The sequence below is a fragment of the Homo sapiens genome, chromosome 1 (genome assembly GCF_000001405.40).
Source record: "Homo sapiens chromosome 1, GRCh38.p14 Primary Assembly".
NCBI classification, from domain to species: domain Eukaryota; kingdom Metazoa; phylum Chordata; class Mammalia; order Primates; family Hominidae; genus Homo; species Homo sapiens.
In genome coordinates, this window is record NC_000001.11 from 7,176,771 (window position 1) to 7,200,057 (window position 23,287).

The 23,287-nt window shown below is 43.7% G+C and overlaps 1 protein-coding gene across 25 annotated transcripts in view, besides 1 other annotated feature; it reads left to right on the forward strand.

The window, feature by feature from the left end:
• Positions 1-23,287, forward strand: part of CAMTA1 (calmodulin binding transcription activator 1) — a 984,253-nt gene that overhangs the window by 391,317 nt on the left and 569,649 nt on the right. The gene's annotated exons all lie outside the window — the stretch shown is intronic.
• Positions 1,125-1,625: an enhancer, noted in NCBI's record as "NANOG-H3K4me1 hESC enhancer chr1:7237955-7238455 (GRCh37/hg19 assembly coordinates)". NCBI's record gives its function as "activates a minimal SCP1, AML or CMV promoter by ChIP-STARR-seq in naive H9 embryonic stem cells {active_cell/tissue: H9 hESC(naive)}" and the evidence as "EXISTENCE:reporter gene assay evidence [ECO:0000049][PMID:30033119]".

A 23,287-nucleotide genomic window follows, 5' to 3' on the forward strand; every position in this document is an offset into this window, starting at 1 on the left:
AATGGTCAGGCCACCCCTGGCTGTGCCATCTTGGGCAGGCCCTGTGACCAGTGTCCACAGGAGAGATTGTTGTGGACCAGGCCTGGAAGTGGCATGCATCATTTATGCCACTTCCCACTGGGCAGAAGTGAGTCACAAGGCCCCACTAGATTGCGGAGAGGCTGGAAAATACAGTTTAAAAATGTGCCCAGGAAGAGGAGGAGGAAACCACATTGCTGAGCATCTGCATAACGGGGTGCCTGGGGCTGGCTGGGCAATAGACCATGCCCCCTCCCCTCACAAGGCCCCTCCTACCCACCAAGGCTCCTTCCCACAGAGGCCCCTCCCACACACTGAGGCCCCTCCCACCCATGGAGGCTCCTCCCACACACCGAGGCTCTTCCCACATACTGAGGCCCCTGTAACACATCAAATCTCCTCCCCCATGCCAAGGCTCCTCCCCACACAGTGAGGCACCACCCACACACCGAGTCCCCTCCCACACACTAAGTCCCCTTCCCAACACGCAGGCTCCTCCCACATGCTGAAGCCTCTCCCACACATTGAGGTATCTCCCACACACTGAGGCTTCCTTCAGCACATCAAAGCCCTGTCCACATACCAATGCCTCTCCCCCAACACAGAGGACTCTCCCACACACTGAGGCCCTTCTCACACACACAAGTCCCACTCACACAGAGGCCCCTCCCACACCCTGAGGCCCCCCCACACACACTGAAGCCCCTCCCACACACTGAGGCCTCTCCCACACACAAGTCCCTCCCATATTGAGACCCCTCCCACATACTGAGACCTCCAGTGCATCAAAACTCTCCCCATACCGAGGCCCCTCCCATACACTGAGACTCCTCCCACACACTGAAGCCCCTCCCACACATTGAGGCCTCCTTCAACACATCAAAACCCTGCCCATATACCAGTACCCCTCCCCACACACAGTCCCACACATTGATTACCCTCCCACATACTGAGGCCTCTAACATGTCAAAGCCCTGCCCACACGCCAAGGCTCCTCCCTACACACAGAGGCTCTTCCCACACACTGAGCCCCTTGCCACACACAGAGGCTCCTCCCACACATTGAGGCTCCTCCCCACACACTGCGCCTCCTCCCCATACACTGAGCCCCCTCCCTCAGGCGGAGGCTCTTCCGACACAGAGGCTCCTCTCCACACACGGAGGCTCCTCCCACACACTGAACCCCCTCCCCACGCGTGGAGGCTCCTCCTACACACTGAGCCACTTCCCAAGCACTGAGGCCTCATTCAATACATCAAAGTCCCGCTCACATGCCAAAGCCCCTCCCACACATTGACCTGCCTCTCTTCCTGAGAAGTCCCTCCTGAGGAAAAGGCTTGAACACTTAAAAGAACAAGGAGGTCCGTTCTCTTTTCTGTATAGCTTTTGTTCCTCTCTCTGTGCTCAGGGCTGCCAGAACTGGTGCAGAGTGTAGGGCCATAGGAAATATCCCTCACTATTTCTCCCCACCATGCTCTATCTCTGCCACTATTTTTAAAATGCTCTTTTAAAGGGTTTGTCAACAGTTATCCCCCGTTTGTCTCTGCCCTGATTTATATTTCTAGTGACTATTAATTGCCTACCAAATGAAGGCTCAGCATTTGTAATTAGGCTGGCAAATTCTACCTGACATCTTCGGCTCTGTGTTGGGGCAGGAAGGGAGCATGTGTTAATGGTGTTGAACTAAGCCACACCCCTCCCCCAGCCCGCTGATTAACCCCAGGTTCACTAATCAATGAAGTCTAACTGATTCTCTTTGCATTTACATCCTGCCTTGACTCTTAGCCAAGGGCTGAGGGCTTTGGTTCCAAAATGCTTTCTATGCCCAGAGAGGATGCCTCTCTGCCTTGTTCCTGCAGAAGGAACTCTCACCCTGAATGGGTAGGGTGGGGGTTCCGTAAAGAGCTAGAGGGAGAAGGGCACTTGCGGAGTAGCCAAGCTGCAGAGAGCTCCCTGTAGCTGTTCTGGAGAATGAAGCCCTCCTCAGCCTCCTTTATAAAAAGTCTGCCATAATTCAGCTGAACACAACATGGTACCAAGAAGCCACAACCTCAGGGATTTCCTTGGTTTTCTGTTCTGTTAATCTTTTCAAAACACGATTGGATTGGAAGCATCCATTCTCAGCCACAGCAGGTTGCTTGGCAGTGGCCGTGGAGGAGCTGTCCAGGATGCTGGCTGTGTGAACCAGGGAACAGCCCAGGATTCATGTATACTTATTGGCACAATTGGTGCCCTAAGTGAGGAACACCAGTACCAACATCCCAGGGTGTCTTCATGACCAAGGCGAAGCATCTCTGTGCCCCTCTGTGGTCATTGCTTCCAAATACATGAAAGGACAAATGATGATATGGGTTCTGCCTTGCCCACAGCAGGTGCTCAATGACTACACTCAGAAAAATGGCTGCTAATAACAATTCAAAAGAGTTATATATCAGTCACGAATATCTATGCATGAAATAACACAGGAACCACCTTTATAAAGCAGATACTGCAAAAGAAACCAGGAAATGCAGAGAAAACCACTAATAATGGGAAAATTTAACATACCACATTCAGCACAAGGCAGATGAAGTGGAAAAAAATAACAATGGAATCAAGAAGATAGGTATTATGGAGATATAGATATCTTTATGTATACATTTATGCCACAATAATATAGAATATACTTTCTTCTCAGGTATACATGGAGCATTTACAAACAGTTATATATTAGCTCACAAAGAAAATTTCAGTAAGTTCTATAAGGTAGAAATATTATAAACAATACTTTCTAACCACGGTGCACTAAAACTGGACATTATTAACAAAAAGATGAAAATACCCTATCATCTGGAAATGAAAAACAACCTATTAACTCTTGGATGAAATGGGGAAAGCAAATTAAAAATTAAAAAATAATCATAATGAAAACACTACCTACCAGAATGTATGAGATATATTTAAAGCAGTGATTGGAAGGAAATTCATATCCCTAAATGCTTTTATTAATAAAAACACAAAAATGCAAATAAGTGAACTAAGTTCTTACCCCAAAAGCTAGGTAAAGAAACACAAGGTAAACCAAAAGAAAGCACAAGAAACATAATAGTAAGGATAAAAGCAGAAAATAGTAAGATAGAGAATGAAAGAACAGTAGACCTGATTAGCAATCCCTAAATATGGGTTTTTAAAACATTAACAAATGAATGAAACCCTTGCTAGCATAAAAAATGGAGAGAAAGCACAAATATATGAAATAAATGACAAAAGAGACATAACCATTGACATAGAAGACATTTTTAAAAATTATGAGATTAGGCCGGGTGCGGTGGCTCACATCTGTAATCCCAGCACTTTGGGAGGCTGAGGCGGGTGGATCACCTGAGGTCAGGAGTTCGAGATCAGCGTGGCCAACGTGGTAAAACCGTGTCTCTACTAAAAATACAAAAATTAGCTGAGCATGGTGTCACGTTCCTGTAATCCCAGCTACTTGGGAGGCTGAGGCAGGAGAATTGCTTGAACTCGGGAGGCAGTGAGCTGAGATCACACCATTGCACTCCGGCCTGGGTGACAAGAGCGAAACTACATCTCAAAAAAAAAAAATTATGAGATTATTTTGTAGACCTCTATTAAAAATATGAAAACAGTATCAATTTGGTATAGGAAGCTTAAAGCTTAAATAAACCAATTTCCATAAAAGATCTAGAAAAAATCCTGAAGGAACTACCCCAAATGTCACTAGACTTTTTTTTTTTTTTTTTTTTTTTTGAGACCGGGCCCCCCTCTATCATCCTGAAGTGCAGGGGTGTAATAACGGCTCACTGCAGCCTCCATCTCCCAGGCTCAAGCCATCCTCCCACCTCAGCCTCTCAAGTAGTTGGGAATACAGGTGTGTGCCACCACAGTTGGCTAATTTTTATATTTTTTATAGAGACGGATTCACCATGTTGCCCAGGCTGGTCTTGAGCACCGGGGCTCAAACGGTCCATCTGTCTTGGCTTCCCAAAGTGCTGGTATTACAGATGTGAGCCACCACACCTGGTCCAAACTTTCAAAGACCAGATATTCTTCATTCTTTATTAATTGTTTAGAGAATCGAAAATAAATGAATGTTTTCTAAGTCTTTCTTGAAAGTAAGTACTACATTGACACCTGAATCTGAAAAGGCAAGTACCAAAATGAAATTACAGAACAATATCACTTATAAACTTATAAATATTGAAGTAAAAGTGCTAAACAAATTATTCGTAAACTAACCAATACCGCAATAAGAAATCAATGCACCATGACCAAATGGTGTCTTTTTCCCAGGAATGCAAGGTTGGTTCAACATGAGGAAATCTATTAGTGTACTATATTAAGGTATCTAAGGAAAAACATAATGATTATCTCCATAAATACTGAAAACCCTTTGAAAAAATTCAATATGCATTCCTGATATATCATTGAAGAAAATAGGAATAAATAGATGCTTTTTTAACCTGAAAAAATATTTGAATCCTAAAGTCAGGATGCTTGTTGATGGGAAAACACTAGAGGCATTTCCACTTAAAGACCAGGATCAAGGCAAGGATATTCATTATCTCTGCTACTATCCCACAATTGTACTGGAGGTATTAGCAATTAGGTAAGATAAATCAGTTACTGGCATGAATATTAGAAAAGAAGAACCAGAACTATCTCAGTTTGCACATGATATGATAGTATACTGGGATAACCCTAGAGAATCAATGATAAAAGTAAATTAAACAATAAAATCATTATGGTAGCAGGAAAAATTTAACATATAGAACTTATTAACTTTCTTGTACATAAATAAGAACCACATAAATAACCAGTTTGAGGACGCAATAGCAACAAAGAAGATACTTAGGAATAAACTTAGAAAGATATGGGCAAAGCCTTGATAAGAAACATTTTTAAGCTCTTCTGAAAGATGTGAAAGTAGTCTTGAACAAATAGAAAGACATCCCTTGATTTTGGATGGATTGATTTAACATCATAAAAAAGTTTGTCCCAAGTTAATTTATGAATTTAACATAATCCCAGAGAAAGTATCAGTAAGTTTTTTTATGGAGCTACACAACTGATACTTAAGTTCATATGAAAAGACAAACATGCAGTAACCACGATAACCCTGCAAATTAAGAACTACTGGGAGGAATAGCTCTACCAAACATTAAAATGAACTATAAAGCCTCTATAATTAAAACAGTATGGTGAAATTGATGCATGAATATTCAAAATAGCAGTAGAATTGAATAGAAAGTCTTGAAATAGACCCCAAGTTCATATGGAAATTTAGTATATGACAAAGGTGGTATCTCAAATCACTGGAGCAGAGATTACCTTTTCAATACATTGTTCCGGGATGACCAGGCAGCCTTTGGAAGAAGATAAAATTAATGCATAAGTTCCAGTATACACAAGAAAAACTCCAAATGGATTGAGATCTAAATATAAAAGGTGAAATCATAAAAGTACTAGAAGTGGCTGGGCACAGTGGCTCATGCCTGTAATCCTTGCACTTTGGGGGGCCAAGGCAGGTGGATTGCTTGAGCCCAGGAGTTCGAGACTAGCCTGGGCAACATGGCAAAACCCTGTCTCTACTAAAAATACAAAAACTAAGGTGGGAGGATCACCTGAGCCTGGGGAGGTCGAGGCTGCAGTGAACCGTGATCGTGCCACTGTACTCCGGCCTGGGTGACAGAGTGAACACCCCATCTCAGAAAAAAAAAAAAAAAAACACTAGAAGAAAACATGGGTGAGCTTTTCTGTAACATGGATGTAAGAAAAGGTTTTCTAACAATGACTCAAAATCCAGATGTAGTTAAAGAAAAGATTGACAAGTTTGATTACAAAAGTCCATGATAAGCACAGTCAAAATGCAAATGACTTTGTAGGAGAAGGTATTTGCAGCATATATCAGAAGTAAAGGGTTAATATCCCTGATATGTAAAGAGCTGTTATCATTGAGGAAGGGGTACTTGATAGAAAAAATGGGCACAAGACATGAAAGATAATTCACATCAAGGATATACAAATGTCCTTTAAACAAACGAAAAGATGTTCAACATCACTCATAATTAGAGAAATGAAAATGGCTTTGAGCTGTCATTTTTAATCTGTCAGATTGGCAAACATGAAAAAGCAAGGCTGTGAAGAGACAAGCAATCCCACACATTGCTGGGGGACTGCAAATGGGCTTAGCCCTTTTCAAGGGAAGTGTGGCGATTGTACTCGTCTGTTTTGCATTGCTATAAAGGAATACCTAAGGCTGGGTAATTTATAAAGAAAAGAGGTTTGTTTTGGCTCACAGTTCTGCAGGCTGTACAGGAAGCATGGTGTCAGCATCTGCTTCTGGTAAGACCTCAGGAAACTTTTAATCATGGTGGAAGGGAAGGGGACCTGGAGTGTCCGATGGTGAGAGAGGGAGCAAGAGAAAGAGGAGGAGGTGTCATGTACCTTTTAACAGCCAGCTCTTCTGTGACTTCGTTACTGAAGGGAGAGACCAAGCCTTTTTTGAGGGATCCCCCCCAATGACCCCAATAACTCCCATCAGGCCCCAACTGCAACTTGGGGACCATATTTCAACATGAGATTTGGAGGGGACAGATATTCAAACCATATCAGCAATATCTATCATAACTGCTTATACATTTACATTTTGACCCAGAAATCCCACTTCTGGGAATTCACCCTTGAAGATATACCTCAAAAGTATGAACATCCCCACCCACAAGGTTATCCACTGCAGCATTACTTGCAATTCCAAAATATTGGGAACAACCTGAATGTCCAAACACAGTGGGGTGGTTGAATAAGTGCTGGTGCATAATGCATAGTACATGGCACAGTGGATACTATGCAACTGTGAAAAAGAAAGAGGATGGTTTCTATGAACTGGCATGGGGTGTATCCCAGGATACACTAGTACATGACAAAGGCAAAGAGCGGAAGAGCATCTGTGGGTGGGAGTAGGGACTGAAGGCAGGTGAGCATGAGGACAGTTCTTGGTGTAATGCTGGTGAGAGTTGCACACTCTATGCTTTCTTAAATCTCATCAGACTGTACACCTATAGTGAGTAAATTTATGATATGAAAATTGTACCTAAACAGAGCTGTTAAAAGGACATCTTTATTATGCCACTGTTTCATATTAAAGAAAGTAAAATAACTTTATCTGCAGTAGCCAAGATTTGGAAGCAACCTAAGTGTCCACCAACAGATGAATGAATAAAGAAAACATGGTACATCTACACAATGGCGCACTATTCAGCCATAAGAAGAGTGAGATCCTGTCATTTGCAACAACATGGATGGAACTGGAGGCCATTGTGTTAAGTGAAATAAGCCCGGCACGGAAAGACAAACTTTTCATGTTCTTGCTTATTCATGGGAACTCAAAATTAAACAATTGAACGCATGGAGATAGAAGGAGGATGGTTACCAGAAACTGGGAAGGGTAGTAGGGGCAGTGGGGATGGTTAATGGCTATAAAAAAATAGTTGGAAAGAATGAATGAGACCTAGTATTTGCTAACACAATAGGGTGTCTATAGTCAATAATAATTTAATTGTAATTTAGAATTAACTAAAAGAGTATAATTGGATTGTTTGTAACAAAGGATAAATGCTTGAGGTGATGGACACACCATTTATCCTGATGTGATTTTTACACATTGCATGCCTGTATCAAAATGTCTTTGTACCCCATGCATATATACCTACTATGTACCCACAAAAATTAAAAATTAAAAAAAGTAAAAAAGTAAAATAAGAAAACATACACAGATCTGTGTAGTTTAGTAAAAAAGAAATATAGGAAAGGTGAGTTAGAATCTAATGAGATTGATTACTGATGGGGTTGTTGGGACCAGGGTTGAAAGGATGGGAGGATGGGAAGGAGACAGGAGACAGAAAGTTAGATTTCTCTGAGTATATCTGTTTATATGCTTTTGACATTAATAATCTTGTCAATATTTCAAACTAAAAACATCATGGGCTAGAGACGAAGCCTAATGTGGAATAAAAACAGAAACAAACGAAAGCAGCCGTATTTCAAATGGATAAAAAGCCATGCTGAAAGTTGGGGGCAGCTCCCCAAGTAACTTTTGGGCTCTGTATTTTGGCCATGTACCACCAGTCTAATAAGAGGAAACAACTGTAAAAGAAAAATATATGGCTACTGTAGTAGGGTTTGTTTTTTCAAGTGATGTGGATTAGCAGTTCTGAAATGATTTATATTCAAGATTGAAGAAATATGTAAATGTATTATAAGTAATGGGAGCCATTTTTTCCTCTCAATCAGTGAAGGGAGTTACACATATGGAAAGGTATAGAAGGCTAGAATTAGTCCTGTGGTGTTGGGTTGGAATTTGAGGTATCAGTATGAACACATATATACACACAGAGAGAGTTCTAGAAATATAAATGCATGTATTAATGTAGCAGTCTGCTAAGATAGCCTAGAGGCAATGATGTCTCAGTAGTAAACCTACCACCCTGATTTTTTTCTTAAATAACTTCTCCACTAAAAGGTAGCAGGGTGATATGGTTAATTCTAGGGTTAGGGCAGAGACAGTACAAATGAGCCTGGAAAAATTTTGACCAGAAAGTAAGGGAGAGCTGACACACTCATGGAGATGTGGTAAAAGACACAGAGCCAGGCAACTACTGGTCAGAGCTGTAATAATTGAGCGTCAAAATTAATATAAATAAGTGAAAAAGAAGGAATAGTGTTTCTTATAGTAGATTGAAAATGTAGAAGGAATTTACATAGTCCTGACATATCTCCCCACAAAGTTCTTACTAATTTCAAAGGGGGAATTACAATTTTACATTGAAGAAATATAGCAGACACTACCTGAATCAAGTGATCAAAAGTAACATCGTGAAATCGGGACAAACACACAGCTGTGGCTCTGGTTTGAAGAATGAAGGACCTGACATCGTTTCTGTGATATTCCTGCCCAAAATGTACAACCTGAACCTAATTATGAGGAAACATTTGACAAACCTAAACTGAGTGATGTCTACAAAATAATTGGCCTGTACTCCAAGAAAAATGTCAAGGTCATGGAAGAACTGTTCCACATTAAAGGAAACTAAAGAGATACAAAAACTGGATGTTCGCGTAATGCTGGATCGGATCCCGGACCACGCGAGTTTGTGTTCTTTTCTTTAGCTCTCAAGGGCTTTATAGGACGCTTGGTGAAATTTGAAGGTCTGTGGATTAGATAATATGTTTTATGTCAGTGTTAATGTTCTGATTTTTAGGGAATACACAGTGAAGAGGTACAGGGGCATCGTGGCTTTGCCTTACTCTAAAACAGTTCAGAAAACAATGTGTATGTGGGGATATATTTGTGTGCATGTCTGTAGGTAGAGAGGGAGAGCAAAAGAGCAAAAGAGAGAGAGGGAAGGAAGGGTAAAGAAAGCAAATGAGATAAAGACATTTGGGGAATCTGGGTGAAGGATATACAAAAATTGTACTATTTTTGCCAATTTTCTGTGTCTTGAAGTGTTTCAAAATAAAAATCTATTAAAAAGTGGGCTAGTATAATATCTTTCTTAGTAGTGTTAAGGATTAAATGAGATAATACCTACAGGTGCTAGTGCTGGGACCTGGACATAGGAATTACCAAAGAAATGATAGCTTTGATGATCAGGAGTGATGGCCTTGAGGGTATGTGTGATGCTGGCTCTGAGTTGATCTGTTGGAGATGTCCCTTTCTTATTGGGGGATGACAGATGGCAGCCTCCTTTATGGCAAAAGCCCTGATCTGAGAATCTGGTGACCTGGGTTCCCATCAGCTCTGACACCCACCTGCTATGTGACTGCAAGTTGGCAGTCATTCAAGTTTCATTTTGCCGGGGCTGGTTGGGGGGAGGGTACATTTTCTTAGGCTTACTTTAGAATGAGTTTTATTCATTCATTATTTAATTTATTCACGCATTAACATCTTTATTGAAAACTATGTGCCAGGCACTATTCCTTGCAATAAGCCAGGTCCACGGAGAATGAATGCTGTAGTTTAGGGGAGAGAAATATACACCACGCTGGCAGTGTAGAGAAACGTGCACAACCAGGTAAATATTTCCTGGTGAGGTGCAGTTCAGGAGTCTTCCCGGCGGGGGCGTGAAAATCAGTCTCCCTAGTGGGGTGTAATTGAGGAGTGTTCTGGTGGGTAAAATTCAGAGTCTTCTTAGTAGGGGGTAATTCAGAGTCTCCCTGGGAAGTCAGTGCTCACTTGGTCTGGGAGAAGGGCTGGAGGTGCTCACCTGTGATGGGGGGAATATAGGATGGGCAGTGAAGCCATGCTGGTCACTGTCCTGACAGTATGAGAGAGTGGCTGGGGCACAGGGCAGGGTGGGTGCGGGGGCATTTGAACCAAGATTGAAAATGACTCCAGGTTTGCAGAGAGGAATATGGGCTCAGGAAGCAGTCCCAGACTCAAGAATCCTGACCAGTGCCAGCCTGCAGAGTTTTTACTGGTCTATGGCAAGATATGGGAAATGAAGACAGTGGTGGTGTCTGCATACTCACTGGGAAGGATTGCCAACTGCTGTTTCTCGGAAAGAACTACTTTTATGCCCAAGCTCATTTTTTAACATAAAATACACATTCTTTTATGAAATTATATTGAAAGCAGATGGTGATTTTTTTTAACGTCGTTACTTAACAAAATAAAAAGTTGTCAATCCTATATTTGTCTCCCCATTAAATTTTTAAAAACTGGATCATAAAATCTAAACAGCTGGGAACTTAAGCATTCTAGACTTCCTGAATGAAGTTTCATGGTAATTTCTGGTTTTAAAAGATGTATTTTAAAAAATGAATATAATATTTTTAACATACATGAAATTATAGAGAATAAGAGGCACATCAGTTCACCTGCCCTCTGGATTTCAGAAAAGCCCATACTTCCTGGCACCAACCTTCATTATCTTTGCATTTTCATTTTCACTGATGATTTGTTTACCCACCCTTTCCCCCTCCATCCCATTAGAGTGGGACCTGGCTTGAGGCCAGGGTCTGTATTTGCATGCAGTTATTTTGATAGAACTCTTTTGGAGCTCCTTCTTGGAGACAGCTCTTTTGATGCAGGAACATTGGGATGGGCCCTGTATTAGTCTGTTATCACACTGCTATAAAGAAATACCCAAGACTGGGTAATTTACAAAGGAAAGAAGTTTAATTAACTCACAGTTCTGCATGGCTGGGGAGGCCTCAGGAAACTTACAATCATGGTGGAAGCTAAGGGGAAACAGGCACCTTCTTCACAAGGTGGCAGGAGAGAGAAGTGGGCAAGAGGGGAACTACCAAACACATAAAACCATCAAATCTCACGAGAACTCACTCATTATCCTGACAACAGCATGGTGGGGGGAACTGCCCCCATGATCCAATCACCTCCCACCAGTCTCTCCCACAACACCTGAGGATTACAATTCAAGATGAGATTTGGGTGGGGACAGAAAGCCTAACCATATCAGGGCCCAAACAAACCATTAAACTTTTAAAAGGAAATTGTGGTGAAATGCACCTAACATAACATTTACCACTTTAACCATTTTCCACTGTACCATTCAGTGACATTAAGTATGCTCATATTGTTGTTCGACCATAACTACTATTATTCTGCAGAACTTTTTTGACTTTCCAAACTGAAACTCTGTACCCATTAAACAGTAACTCCCTCCCTCTCCCCTAACCCTGGTAACTATTGTTACACTTTCTGTCTGTATGGATTTGACTACTCCAGGGACCTCATACAAGTACCAATACATACAAGTATTTGTCCTTTTGTGGCAGACATATTTCACTTAGCTTGTCATCTTCAGGGTTCATCCATGTTGTAGCAGGTATGAAACTATCCTTCCTTTTTAAGGCTAAATAATATTCCACTGTATTCCATATTTTGTGTAGCTGCTCATCTGTCAATGGAAATCTGAGTTGTTCTCTACCTTTTGGCTATGTGAACAATCCTGCTATGAACATAGGTGTACACATGTTTGTTCAGTTCTCTGATTTAATTTCTTTGGGGTATATATCCAAAAGTGGAATGGCTGGACCATGTGGCAACTCTGTGCTTAATTTTTTGTGGAACCATTATACCATTTTCCATAGCAGCAGCACCATTGTACCTTCTCACCAGCAATGCACAAGAGTTCCAATTTTTCCACATCCTCACCAACTCTTGTTTTTTGTTTTTTAATAATAGCCATGCTAGTAAGTGTGAAGTGGTATCAAACCATCACACTTTAAGCTTCACATTTTTGTCAACAGGTAATATACAAAGCTGGTGTCTGTTCTCTATCCTGAATCCCATCCTCTCTTTGGCTTCATGCTCTCCTTCAGCCTCAATTATTGTTTCCTGTGCACAAAGTTGTACATAAAATACTTTCTGTGTGGTTTCTAACAGGGAAACACTGTAGAAAGCCTAAATGTCCATCAGAAAAACCAAGGTTAAATAATGTATGCCACACAGAGATTGGAAAATACCATGCAGCAATGAACAAGAATGAGCTATATCTGTAAGTGCTGGCATTGAGTGAGGTCCATGACATATTGCTAAGTGAAAAAAATCAAGCCATACAAGAGCACATTAAAAACTACACGTCTGAATATCCAGAAACTACAGTGAACTCAAACAAATTAGCAAGAAGAAAACAAACAATCCCATCAGAAAGTAGGCTAAGGACATGAATAGAGAGTTCTCAAAAGAATATATAGAAATGGCCAACAAACATATGAAAAAATGCTCAGCATCACTAATGATCAGGGAAATGCAAATCAAAACCACACTGTGATACCACTTTACTTCTGCAAGAATGGTCATAATCAAAAAAATCAAACAATAATAGATGTTGGCGTGGATGCAGTGAAAACGGAACACATCTGCACTGCTGGTGGGAATGTAAACTAGTACAACCACTATGGAAAGCAGTGTGGAGATTCCTCAAAGAACTAAAAGTAGAACTACCATTTGATCCAGCAGTCCCACTACTGGGTATCTACCCAGAGGAAAGGAAGTCATTGTACAAAAACTTTCACACTCATGTTTATAGCAGCACAATTTGCAAATGCAAAAAGGTGGAACCAACCCAAATGTCCATCAGTCAACGAGTGGATAAAGAAACTGTGGTGTGTATGTATTTTGGCACCATCTTTTTACACCTAGTAAGAAGGAATGAATTAATGGCATTTGCAGTAACCTGGAGGGGATTGGAGATTATTTTTCTAAGTGAAGTAACTCAGGAATGGAAAACAAACATCGTATGTTCTCACTGATGAGTGGGAGCTAAGCTATGAGGATGCAAAGGCATAAGGATGACACAGTGGATTTTGCGGACTCGGGGGAAAGGGTGAGAAGGGGTGAGGGATGAAAGACTACAAATTGGGTTCAGTGTATACTGCCTGGGAGATGGGTGCCCCAAAATCTCACAAATCATCACTAAAGAACTTACTCACGTAACCAAATACCACCTGTTCCCCCAAAACCTATGGAAATAAAAAATTTTTTAAAAATCAAGCCACAAAAGAGCACATTAAAAACTACACATATGAATAGATATATGTCTATGTACACATATCTCTGTATGTGTAATACATGTGTGTATTACACGTAGCATATATAATGATGTACTATATGTAAATGATTCTTATACGTGTGTAGAAAATAATCATGATGTAACATAAATGTACATATAACTTTTTTAAACACACAGAAAGCTCTGGAAAAATAGGCAGAGTTAGTTGACTGTGATTACTTCTGAAAAAGAGACTGAGGTGAGTAGCGGAGGGGAATTTCAATTTTTACTTGTTATGCTTCCAACTGTTTGAGTGTTGTTCCTTTTTTAACAAGAAGTATATTACTTTTGTAATTTAAAAAAATAGAAAAAAACAAATATAGTAAGCCCAGCCTGCAAGTCATAAAACACAAATCCTCAATCATGGGGCCACACATGTTTTAGGTGCACGTAATGGTAATGCATTATTCTAATGCGTACTGGGAGGCAGACTCCATTCTAAGCACTTGAAATAACCTAGTTTCCCAGAAAACTACACTATGAAGGAGGTTATCCATGTTTTACACATAAGGATATAAGCTCAGAGAGGTGAAGTTACCCACCTAAAGTCACACAGCTAGTGAATGGTGTGTAATTAGTGCTTTAATGGTGAGACTTCTTTCTTCCAGACAGGTACACTGGTAATTTTTTAGAACATGGATTTTAACTTCTGATTTATTTATTTTTTTACATACTGAGATAGTGCAGGTTGTGTTTGTAAGATTCAAGGACCATTAGGGTCTCGCATTTTGTTTGTTTGGCTTTATTTGAACACAGCTCTGATTATAAGAGCCCTTGGGCATGGGAAGAGTGCCAGGAGCTTGTCAGCCATCTCTATCAGAAATAAATGGTGCTGTGTTTCTTTTTAAATAAAGAGAATTACTGGGTAGGACACCCCATAGCTTTGTTCTGAATTCTAGATGTAAATGGAGACTTCATAGTTTATCCTAAAGTTGCTGTTGAATTCTCTAATTCTGGATATAAGCGTTCTATTGATTTCCCTCTGCACATGCACCATGCATGAATTGCTCCTAGAAGGCTGAGTGGCGGACATGGTATGCCACCTTGCACCATATTATCAATAGTGTTGCGTTTTCAAGAAGCGTTGTTTAGTTCCTTTACAAATCATCCTTTTCTTTAAATTAGCTCTCTTGGGTGGCACCATCTTTTTTACACCTAAATGAACAGATTTCACAACAAAGATTTCTAAGTGCATCATTTTGTTAAACTCTTAAAACTGTTAAATTAATAAAATCAGCTTAACAGAACCCTGATTAGTTCAAAATTGCTTTAAATTTGGTCATTAAGTTTCAGGGAACATGTAATTTTCTCCACATCTGGTACAGCTGCAAGGCGTGAGGGATGAGGACACAGTGCTGTAACAAATACAGAGGATGGGGAAGAAACGCTTTGTCATCGACAGTTTCTGCACTGCTGGTTTGCAGTCCCCAGGAATAAGCTTCCTGAGGAGACATTAGGCCTTGTGTTATTTCTCTAAGAACGTCCCCTTCCTGCAGCGAGAAGGCCAATGCAGAACCGCTGGGCATCAAGAGATCTGGGTTCACTTTTTGAGAACCCTGGGAACTCACTGTGTCACTAGACACACATTCCTCTCTCTGTGCCTCAACATCCCATCTGGGAAATGGGCTGATGTTCTTGAGATCCTCTTCCATTAGCTTGTTGGGGGCTGGGACTGGTGGGGGAATAGTGTCATCTTTTGCTAGGAGCTATTGGACACATCTGAGATGCATTATTTGGATAATCGCATGTCAAGATGCATTTGTCTGTCTTCTTGGCTACAATGCTCCTGGTTCTGGCTCTTCTGGTTGGGACTCCAGGATCAGGTCTGTGAGATGCTGACACTGATGTCGCTTGCGTGGTAGCAGCCAGCCTCTTCCTCTGCATCTTTCTCCACTTTGGGGTCAAGGTTTGACAAGCTCCTCAGCTGACTTGGTGTGCTATGGCGTCTGACCTGGCTGAAAGCCATGACGCTTGGCCTTTGGTTGGGATAGCACCACTTGATTCATCACTGGCAGCTGCGGAGGGGCAGAGCGGAGGGAACATGTCAGTACTTTATGGGCAATCCCAATGTGAGAAGGGACTGAGGCCGGATAGCCCAGTGGTGGAAATCCCGTCATTGTAGAAGGGAGGGCCTGGGATCTCAAATCTGGGAATTTTTGAGTTAGATCTAGAACCTGAGGCTGGAGGCAAGTTGGATGGAACTGTCTGTGCTTGTGGCCGCTGCTAGCCATTGAGCCGAGTGCCACCTGCAGGAGCAGTGATGATGGGGGTCAGGCCCAGCCCCTGAGTGCACGCTGCCCGCCAGTGTGTGCTGGGCATCACGGCCCCCTCACAACCCTGCAAGGTAAGACGTGTGACTCCCATTTAACAGATGAAGGAGCGAGCCTAGTGGGATTATGTAGGTTACATTGTGAGTCAATGACAGGGTTAGGATCTGAACCCAGGAGTGAGGAGTGAATGCAGCGTCACCGGAAGGAAAAGGAAAGAAGGAGAACTGGAGGATGATCTGTCTCAGGCAAGCTTTAGTCTGAGGTTCTAAGTCATGCTGTGAAGGTCTCTGCAGAGTCACTCCTTGGCTTCATTATGCAGAGAGCTTGTAGCCAGGTGGCACTGGGCAGGGGCTCATCCCAGGTGCCTAAACCCCACATGCATCAAAACTTAGAGGAGACCAGCGTCTTCTGCTGGTCCTTTAAAAATAGTCATTTGGGCCAGGCACAGTGGCTCACACCTGTAATCCCAGCACTTTGGAAGGCCAAGGCGGGAGGATCACCTGAGGTCAGGAGTTCGAGACCAGCCTGGCCAACATGGTGAAACCCCATCTCAACTGAAAAATAAAAAAATTAGCAGGGTATGGTGGCAGGCGTCTGTAATCCCAGCTACTCGGGAGCCTGAGGCAGGGAGAATTGCTTGAACCAGGAGTTGGAGGCTGCAGTGAGCCGAGATTGCACCACTGTACTCCAGCCTGGGCGACAGAGTGAGACTCTGTCTCAAAAAAAAAAAAAAAGTCATTTGCTCTGTAGTGTCAGTTTCCAAGTCCCAAGTCTCCCATGAAAGCCAAATGCCTTCTGATATTGATGGTACTTCAGCAGGTGACTGCAGCCCAATTGTATCGGATGTTTCTGATGACAGCAGATAAGTGCCAGTGAACAGCTAAAGTTCAGTGGCACTTACCTGCTGTCATCAGAAACATGAGGGGAGGGGATGGGATAGTGGAAGAAAGGACATAGGGAGGTGAAGGACGCAGACCCTGAAGACAAAGTCCTTCCACTCATGTGCCCACCTGCAGAAGGGGGTGCGGAAGCTTGAGCCACACACAGAGGGTCTGGTCCCAAATGCAGAGAGCCCAGGCAGTGGCTTTTCTGAGGGATAGAATGTGAGCACTTTGGATGTCTGGAATTCTGTAAGAACCCAATGGAAAGAAAATATGAGGTTTGGAAACTTCTCCTCCGAGTGCTCCTTTAGGTGTTCAGGTGGATTTTACAGAAGAGGCTGACGGCCCGAAGGGGAGGCTAGCCATCAGATTTCCATTAATGTCTCCCACCATCTCTGAGGCCTAAATGACAGGGTTCTTGAAGACAGCAACAGAACAGTGGTAACCTATATTTTATTCACTATCTTTCATGCCCTTAGCATCATATCTCACTGATACGTAGATAGACACATGTGAACGGAAGCATTTTATACGTAAACGTAGGGATGTGTGTGACCTAGATTTAAAGGATGCATATTAAAAGAATTGTACCTAATAATATGAACTATTTTTGGCCCATGACATGCGGCCTTTAGAAGCATGACAAACCAAAAACACTTTTACCAAATTCCTTCCCTTTACAATCCCCTACCGTCCTCCTATCTGGTCAAAATATAGCTACTTTTTTGGTACGTTGGTTTTAAAAACAGCTCTGTCCTCCAAAGATATGGCAAAGTTTTCTAGTTACTGTTTTTTAATACTTCCTGGTATTCTTAGAGTCCACAGCTTTGAGTGCAGCTGGAAAACATCTACACAGAGGATATGTTTGGACAGGTATTGAATATAATAAACTATATTTAAATATTTATACGTGAAATTTTTTTTTATGGTGCTGTTCTTTAAATCATTGAACGAGGTCCTTTCATTTCTCCAAAAGATATATGAGCACTGTCTTTTGGCATATAGATCATTTTTGCCTTTGAAAGATGTCTCAGTTAAAAATGATTTCTACAGATGATCTTTTACATACATTTGTTATTGTGGTGAGCGTTACATCCTGCTGTTTTACAGCGATACTTGGAGGATTTCTCCTGAAAATAGCCCTTTATTTGTGGCAAGCTGAAAGGGAGAGGGCAGGAAGAGGACTTGCGATATTTCATCTGCCTAGAGCTTAGTAAGGAGAGGAGAGGGCCGTGCAGTCCCCAGTATGACCCTCCTTCCCTGTGCTCGGGAAGCAGCTTGAGGCTAAGAGAAATATTGGGCTCTTCTCTTCTGCTAAGAGGCTTAGAATTCTGTGATTTTTATTTTCTGCTTCTGCCTGCAAGGCCCTCCTTCTCCTTTGTCAATTTGAAGAGCTCTCTTTCTATTCCTAGCAGTTATCTAGATAACAATCATTTGTTTTTGAGATTGATTCCTATAAACAGTACGTGGAGCATCTCATGGACTAAAACGTGGTAAATTGTCAAACTTCTCAGAGTAGGAAGATGTCTGCTGGCTAGGTAGAAGGTTTCTGGTTTAATGGTGAAAACAGCCAAACACACAAATAAGCAAACACGCACATAAACCACCAACTAACCCAGCCCAGCAGCAGGCGAGGTTTTCTGTCGTCCAGCACGTGCAAGAGAAGGGCTGGGCAGCTTGATGGACATTTGTGCCGTCCACCTTGCAGGCATATGGCAGCTCCCACGTTCTCACACCATTCGACATTTGGGGTGACCAAGTCATGCACTCTGACCAGTGAAATGCAAGTGGAAATGACAAGTGCGACTTCATGGCACAGATTTTCGGAGTCCAAGTGTTGCTATACACATTCTCTGCTTGTCTTGGCTATTTGGAAGCACATTCAGTGCTGAGCTTCCCTGGGCTTGGTGGCCGAGTGGAGTGAGGAGTGCAGACTCCCCAGCTGCCCGTAGTGACCATGGGGCACAAGCAGGGAATAGAGCTTTCCTGTTACAGCATCATGGCCTCACCTGTCCTGACTGATGCAGGTGGATACCAGCAGGCAACAGTGGTTGGCACTGTGACACTCTCCCGCCACACATGGCACACTCACCTTCAGCCAGGTGCCCGCACTGCTCCTGAGACCACTCTGACCCCATGAGGAGGTTGGCTTGTGAGTGCTTATATTTAGCCAGCCATTGCTCACAGCAGAAGGATAAAGGGGTTCGATTAAGAGAGCTTGTGGGCTGGGCGCAGTGGCTCATGCCTGTAATCCCAGCACTTTGGGAAGCCAAGGCAGGCAGATCACCTGAGGTCAGGAGTTCAAGACCAGCCTGGCCAACATGGTGAAACCCCGTCTCTACTAAGAATACAAAAATTAGCCAGGCATGGTGGCACATGCCTGTAGTCCCAGCTCTTAGGAGGCTGAGGCAGGAGAATCACTTGAACCAGGAGGTGGAGGTTGCAGTGAGCTGAGATCATCCCACTGCACTCCAGCCTGGGCAACACAGTGAGATACTGTCTCAAAGAAAAAAAAAATGTGTGATACAGTTTGGATTTGTGTCCCTACCCAAATCTCACATTGAATGAGAGGAGGGGCCTGCAGGAGGTGATTGAATCACGGGTCAGGTTTCCCCCTTGCTGTTCTCGTGATAGTGAGTTCTCAGGAGAACTGATGGTTTAAAAGTGTGTGGCACTTCCCCCTTAGCTCTCTCTCTCTCTCTCTCCTACTCCACCTGGTAAGACGTGCTTGCTTCCCCTTTGCCTTCTGCCATGACTGTAAGTTTCTTGAGGCCTCCCAGTCTGTGAAGCCTGCAGCACTATGAGTCAACTAAACCTCCTTTCTTCATAAACTACCCAGTCTCAGGTTGTTCTTTATAGCAGTGTGAGAACAGACTAATACAGTATGTGTGAAGAAAACATACATTCTTAGAGATCTGTTTGCCTGCTCTCACAGAGCCCCTGACCAGTGATGGGACATTCCAGTTAGCAGGAGAGAGGGTGTGGTGGAGCACAGCGTGGCTGGAGGAAATCACTCTAAACGGGCTTCAGTGCACTAACAGATTTTGGAGTGATTTATATGAAAACAGTTTAAAGCATTTACTAGCTGTAGGAACTAATTTCCAATAAATCAGACAGGATTCCCTTGGGAACCAGAAATAAATGAGGGCAAAAGAAATTGCTAAGGGTTGTTGAGCAATAAAGAGATGGGTTCTAGATACCTTAAAATGATATTTAAATGGACAAAGTTGATTTAGCTGTCTTCTCTCATGTCTAGGAGTAAGATTGAAGTCCATAGCATGTCATTATGACCAGGAATTATTCACCAGGAGACCTGCAGCATTTCATGCACATTCCGCTGAATGGCAATTTTAATATTCCAGTTTCAGTCCTCGGTTGTAATGAAAAGGCATTAATTGCTTGGTTCCTTGCAAAGTCTGTAACAAAAGTGTTCCTAGAACAAGTTCAAATTTGGCACACAAGGCAGAACTTTTATGATCTAACGTTAGTCATTTTTTTTCTAATTAAGAATTTTTAATGCATATATATTTTGTGATCTTCAAGTTCTCAAGTAATTATTTCACACACACGGGTCATCTGGCATCGTGCCATGTGTCTTGGAAAATGCAGAAAAATAGAATATCACTGTGGTCCTTGCACTCTGGAAGTGTACATTTCATAGGAAGATGAAGCTGTGACACCCTCTGAGAACACTGAAGCCACACGTGTGTGTCAAATGTGAGGATGGAAGGACCAGCAGCCAGGAGATGCTGACATTGCTTCAGGGAGGTGGAGGCCAAACAAGGGGCTCTGAAGCACTGGCTAGACTTGGCCAGAGTGGGGAGACAGCTCATTGTCCCGAATGAGCAAGACCTGTGGCCAGAGCTGGATGCAGTTTCCAAAGACCAGGAGATGCTCTCTCAGCTGCCCACACAGGGTTCGGGAGACATCTGTTCTGTTAAACATGGACACTTCTTGTGACCAGGACGTAGCATCATTTCCTAAAGAGGTGGGGGCTCAGAGCTCCCTGGGACCAGGGGGATGACTGTTCTCTGTTTTAGGAACCTGCGTGTGGGATGTTCTTGGGAGATGTGAAGAGAGAGGAAGGAAAGGACACTCAAATTATTGTCCCCCACCACACACACACACACACACACACACACACACACACACACACACACACACAATCTACTTGCTTATTTATCTGCTCATTTCATTGACGCTTCCCAACAACTGGGGTATTTTTCATTCCCTTTTCCTAGTTGAGAAGAAAGACTCCGAGAGGGTGGAATCCTACCCTAGGTCATTTAGCTGGAAGGTTGCAGAGTGGTCTTCAAATCCAGGTCATGCCCCTTTTCGGGACACTGGAACATTCCAATCAACAGCAGGGGAAGCCGTATCTTCCCCTGCTAGACTTGGCCAGAGTGGGGAGACAGCTCATTGTCCCGAATGAGCAAGACCTGTGGCCAGAGCTGGATGCAGTTTCCAAAGACCGGGAGATGCTCTCTCAGCTGCCCACACAGGGTTCGGGAGACATCTGTTCTGTTAGACATGGACATTTCTTGTGACCAGGACGGAGCATCATTTCCTAAAGATCCCCTGCTAGAACTTACTGATAGTAAGTTCTAGGATATTGGGGTGACCCAAACCCAGGAATCCAGTTTCTGCCCTTGCCTTTCTCTTGCATAAAAGGTTGAATTGTGCCTCATTCAAGTGCATGAACTTCCCCAGGCCCTGCTCAGTGCATCTAGTAGAGCCAGGATGTCCCAGCTGACCCTGCATTTGGAGGCCTGGAGGTGGGCTCACCACAGTTTGCAGCTTAGGTGTGCCCCCACTCCCCTACCCCCGACCTGTCACTGGTCCTGACCCCAACTCTTCTGGAATCACGTGGTGTGAGTGGTACAGGAGGCCTCTGCTTGCAAAGCTGGGTGCTGACCTGTGTGTGCCCCTGATGACTCCTGTGGACCGTGTTTGCTGCTGCACTTCAGAAGGTGTCAGGAATGTGTCCCTTCCATGTCTCAGCAGCCCTGGGTGCTCCCGACATCACCCTGAGAAACCCCCAGGACCTCTCTGGGTCTCATTTCCAGAGGGTGTCTCCATCACTCATACCCCCTTGGCCACGCTGCGCTGGCTTCTTTGAGCCTCTGCTAAGAGGCGAGTGGCAGCTTCCACCTCTAGGACCTCTTCTTGCTGTGACTCTGCTTGGGACCATCTTTCCTGACACCCATAGCTTCCCTTGTTCCTTCAAGTCTTTGCTTAAAGTCTCCTTCCTGGCCAGATCTTCCCTGACCCTGGCCCTCTGGTTTGGGACAGATGCTTGCACACCGCTGCTCCATTCCTGTAGTGAGTCTGGGGGAGCCCTCTGCAGGCAGGGAGCCCCGCGGGCAACGCTGGATGCAGGCAGGAGCACACAGGCCCCCAGGCTCCAGTTCTTCTTCCCTACTCCTGACCTTTTTCTTCTCCAAAGCACTTACTCCCAGTTGACATATTGTGTGCTGGCTTGTTTGTTTTGTTTATTGTCTCTTCCACCGCCTCCCAGGAGGGCAGAGGTGTTTGTCTTTTCCCCCCCACTTCTCTCCCCTAAGCGCCTGGAGGTTTGCGCGGCACGTGGTGGGTACTGTCTCCATCTTTGCTGAAGGAGGGAAGGTTCCTTGTTTACTGATGCCCCCCCCAACTCCTGTTCAGAGGACAGGCGAGGCCTGGGACTCGGATTGGAGCCCGCCCCCACGCCTCCACCCGCTGGGCATCCTGCCTGGAGAAGCCTCCTCATGTCTGACTGTGGGAAGCAAGCTGCGCTCAGCGGGGCATCAGTTCCAAGCGGAGGGTAAAAGGGAGCCAGGCAGAGACCACTTCTTTTGTTACTCAGTCCATGCGAGGTGGTGGCGTCAGCCCTGCTTCAGGGAGGACGCCTGCTGCTCAGCGTCCCTTCTGCAAGGAGCTGTGGGGACCCCATTCTCTTTCCCAGACACGGGCACCCGACCCTAGGGCTGGGAAGTCATCTGCCCCCATGTCCTGTGCCTGGTGCACAACCCCCTTCCCCTGTCCTTCTCCGAAGCACCAGCCGCCGCCTGGAAGAATTCTTCCCTCCCACCCAAGGCAGCGGTGGGCACGCCCAGCCCTTGGTCCTGTTCTCCAGGGAACCCAGCCGTGTGCGCAGGGAGAGTTTCTCAGTGTGGCTGAAATGTATCCAAGGACGCATGGGAACTGGCCGCCCAGTGCAGTCCTGCAGTTGGTGGAAAGGAGGATGGTGGCTGGGGAGGGAGGGTGGGGAGTGGGTTTTTAAATTTTAAATGTTATTATACAATATTCTAGATATACAAAAAGATAAATAACAATAAAATGGATAGCCTCATACCCGCCACCAGCTTGAGAAGTAAAACACAGTTATTGCGTACCTGGCCCCATCCTCCCCAGAGCTAACCACTGTCATGAATGTTTATACACCTTTGCTGCATGTGTATATAGATGAGGATAATTTTCTTTCATCTGCTTTAGAACTTTATATAAATGACATTGTACTGCAAGCATGCTTTTTTAATTAAAATTTTTATTTGAAACAATTTCA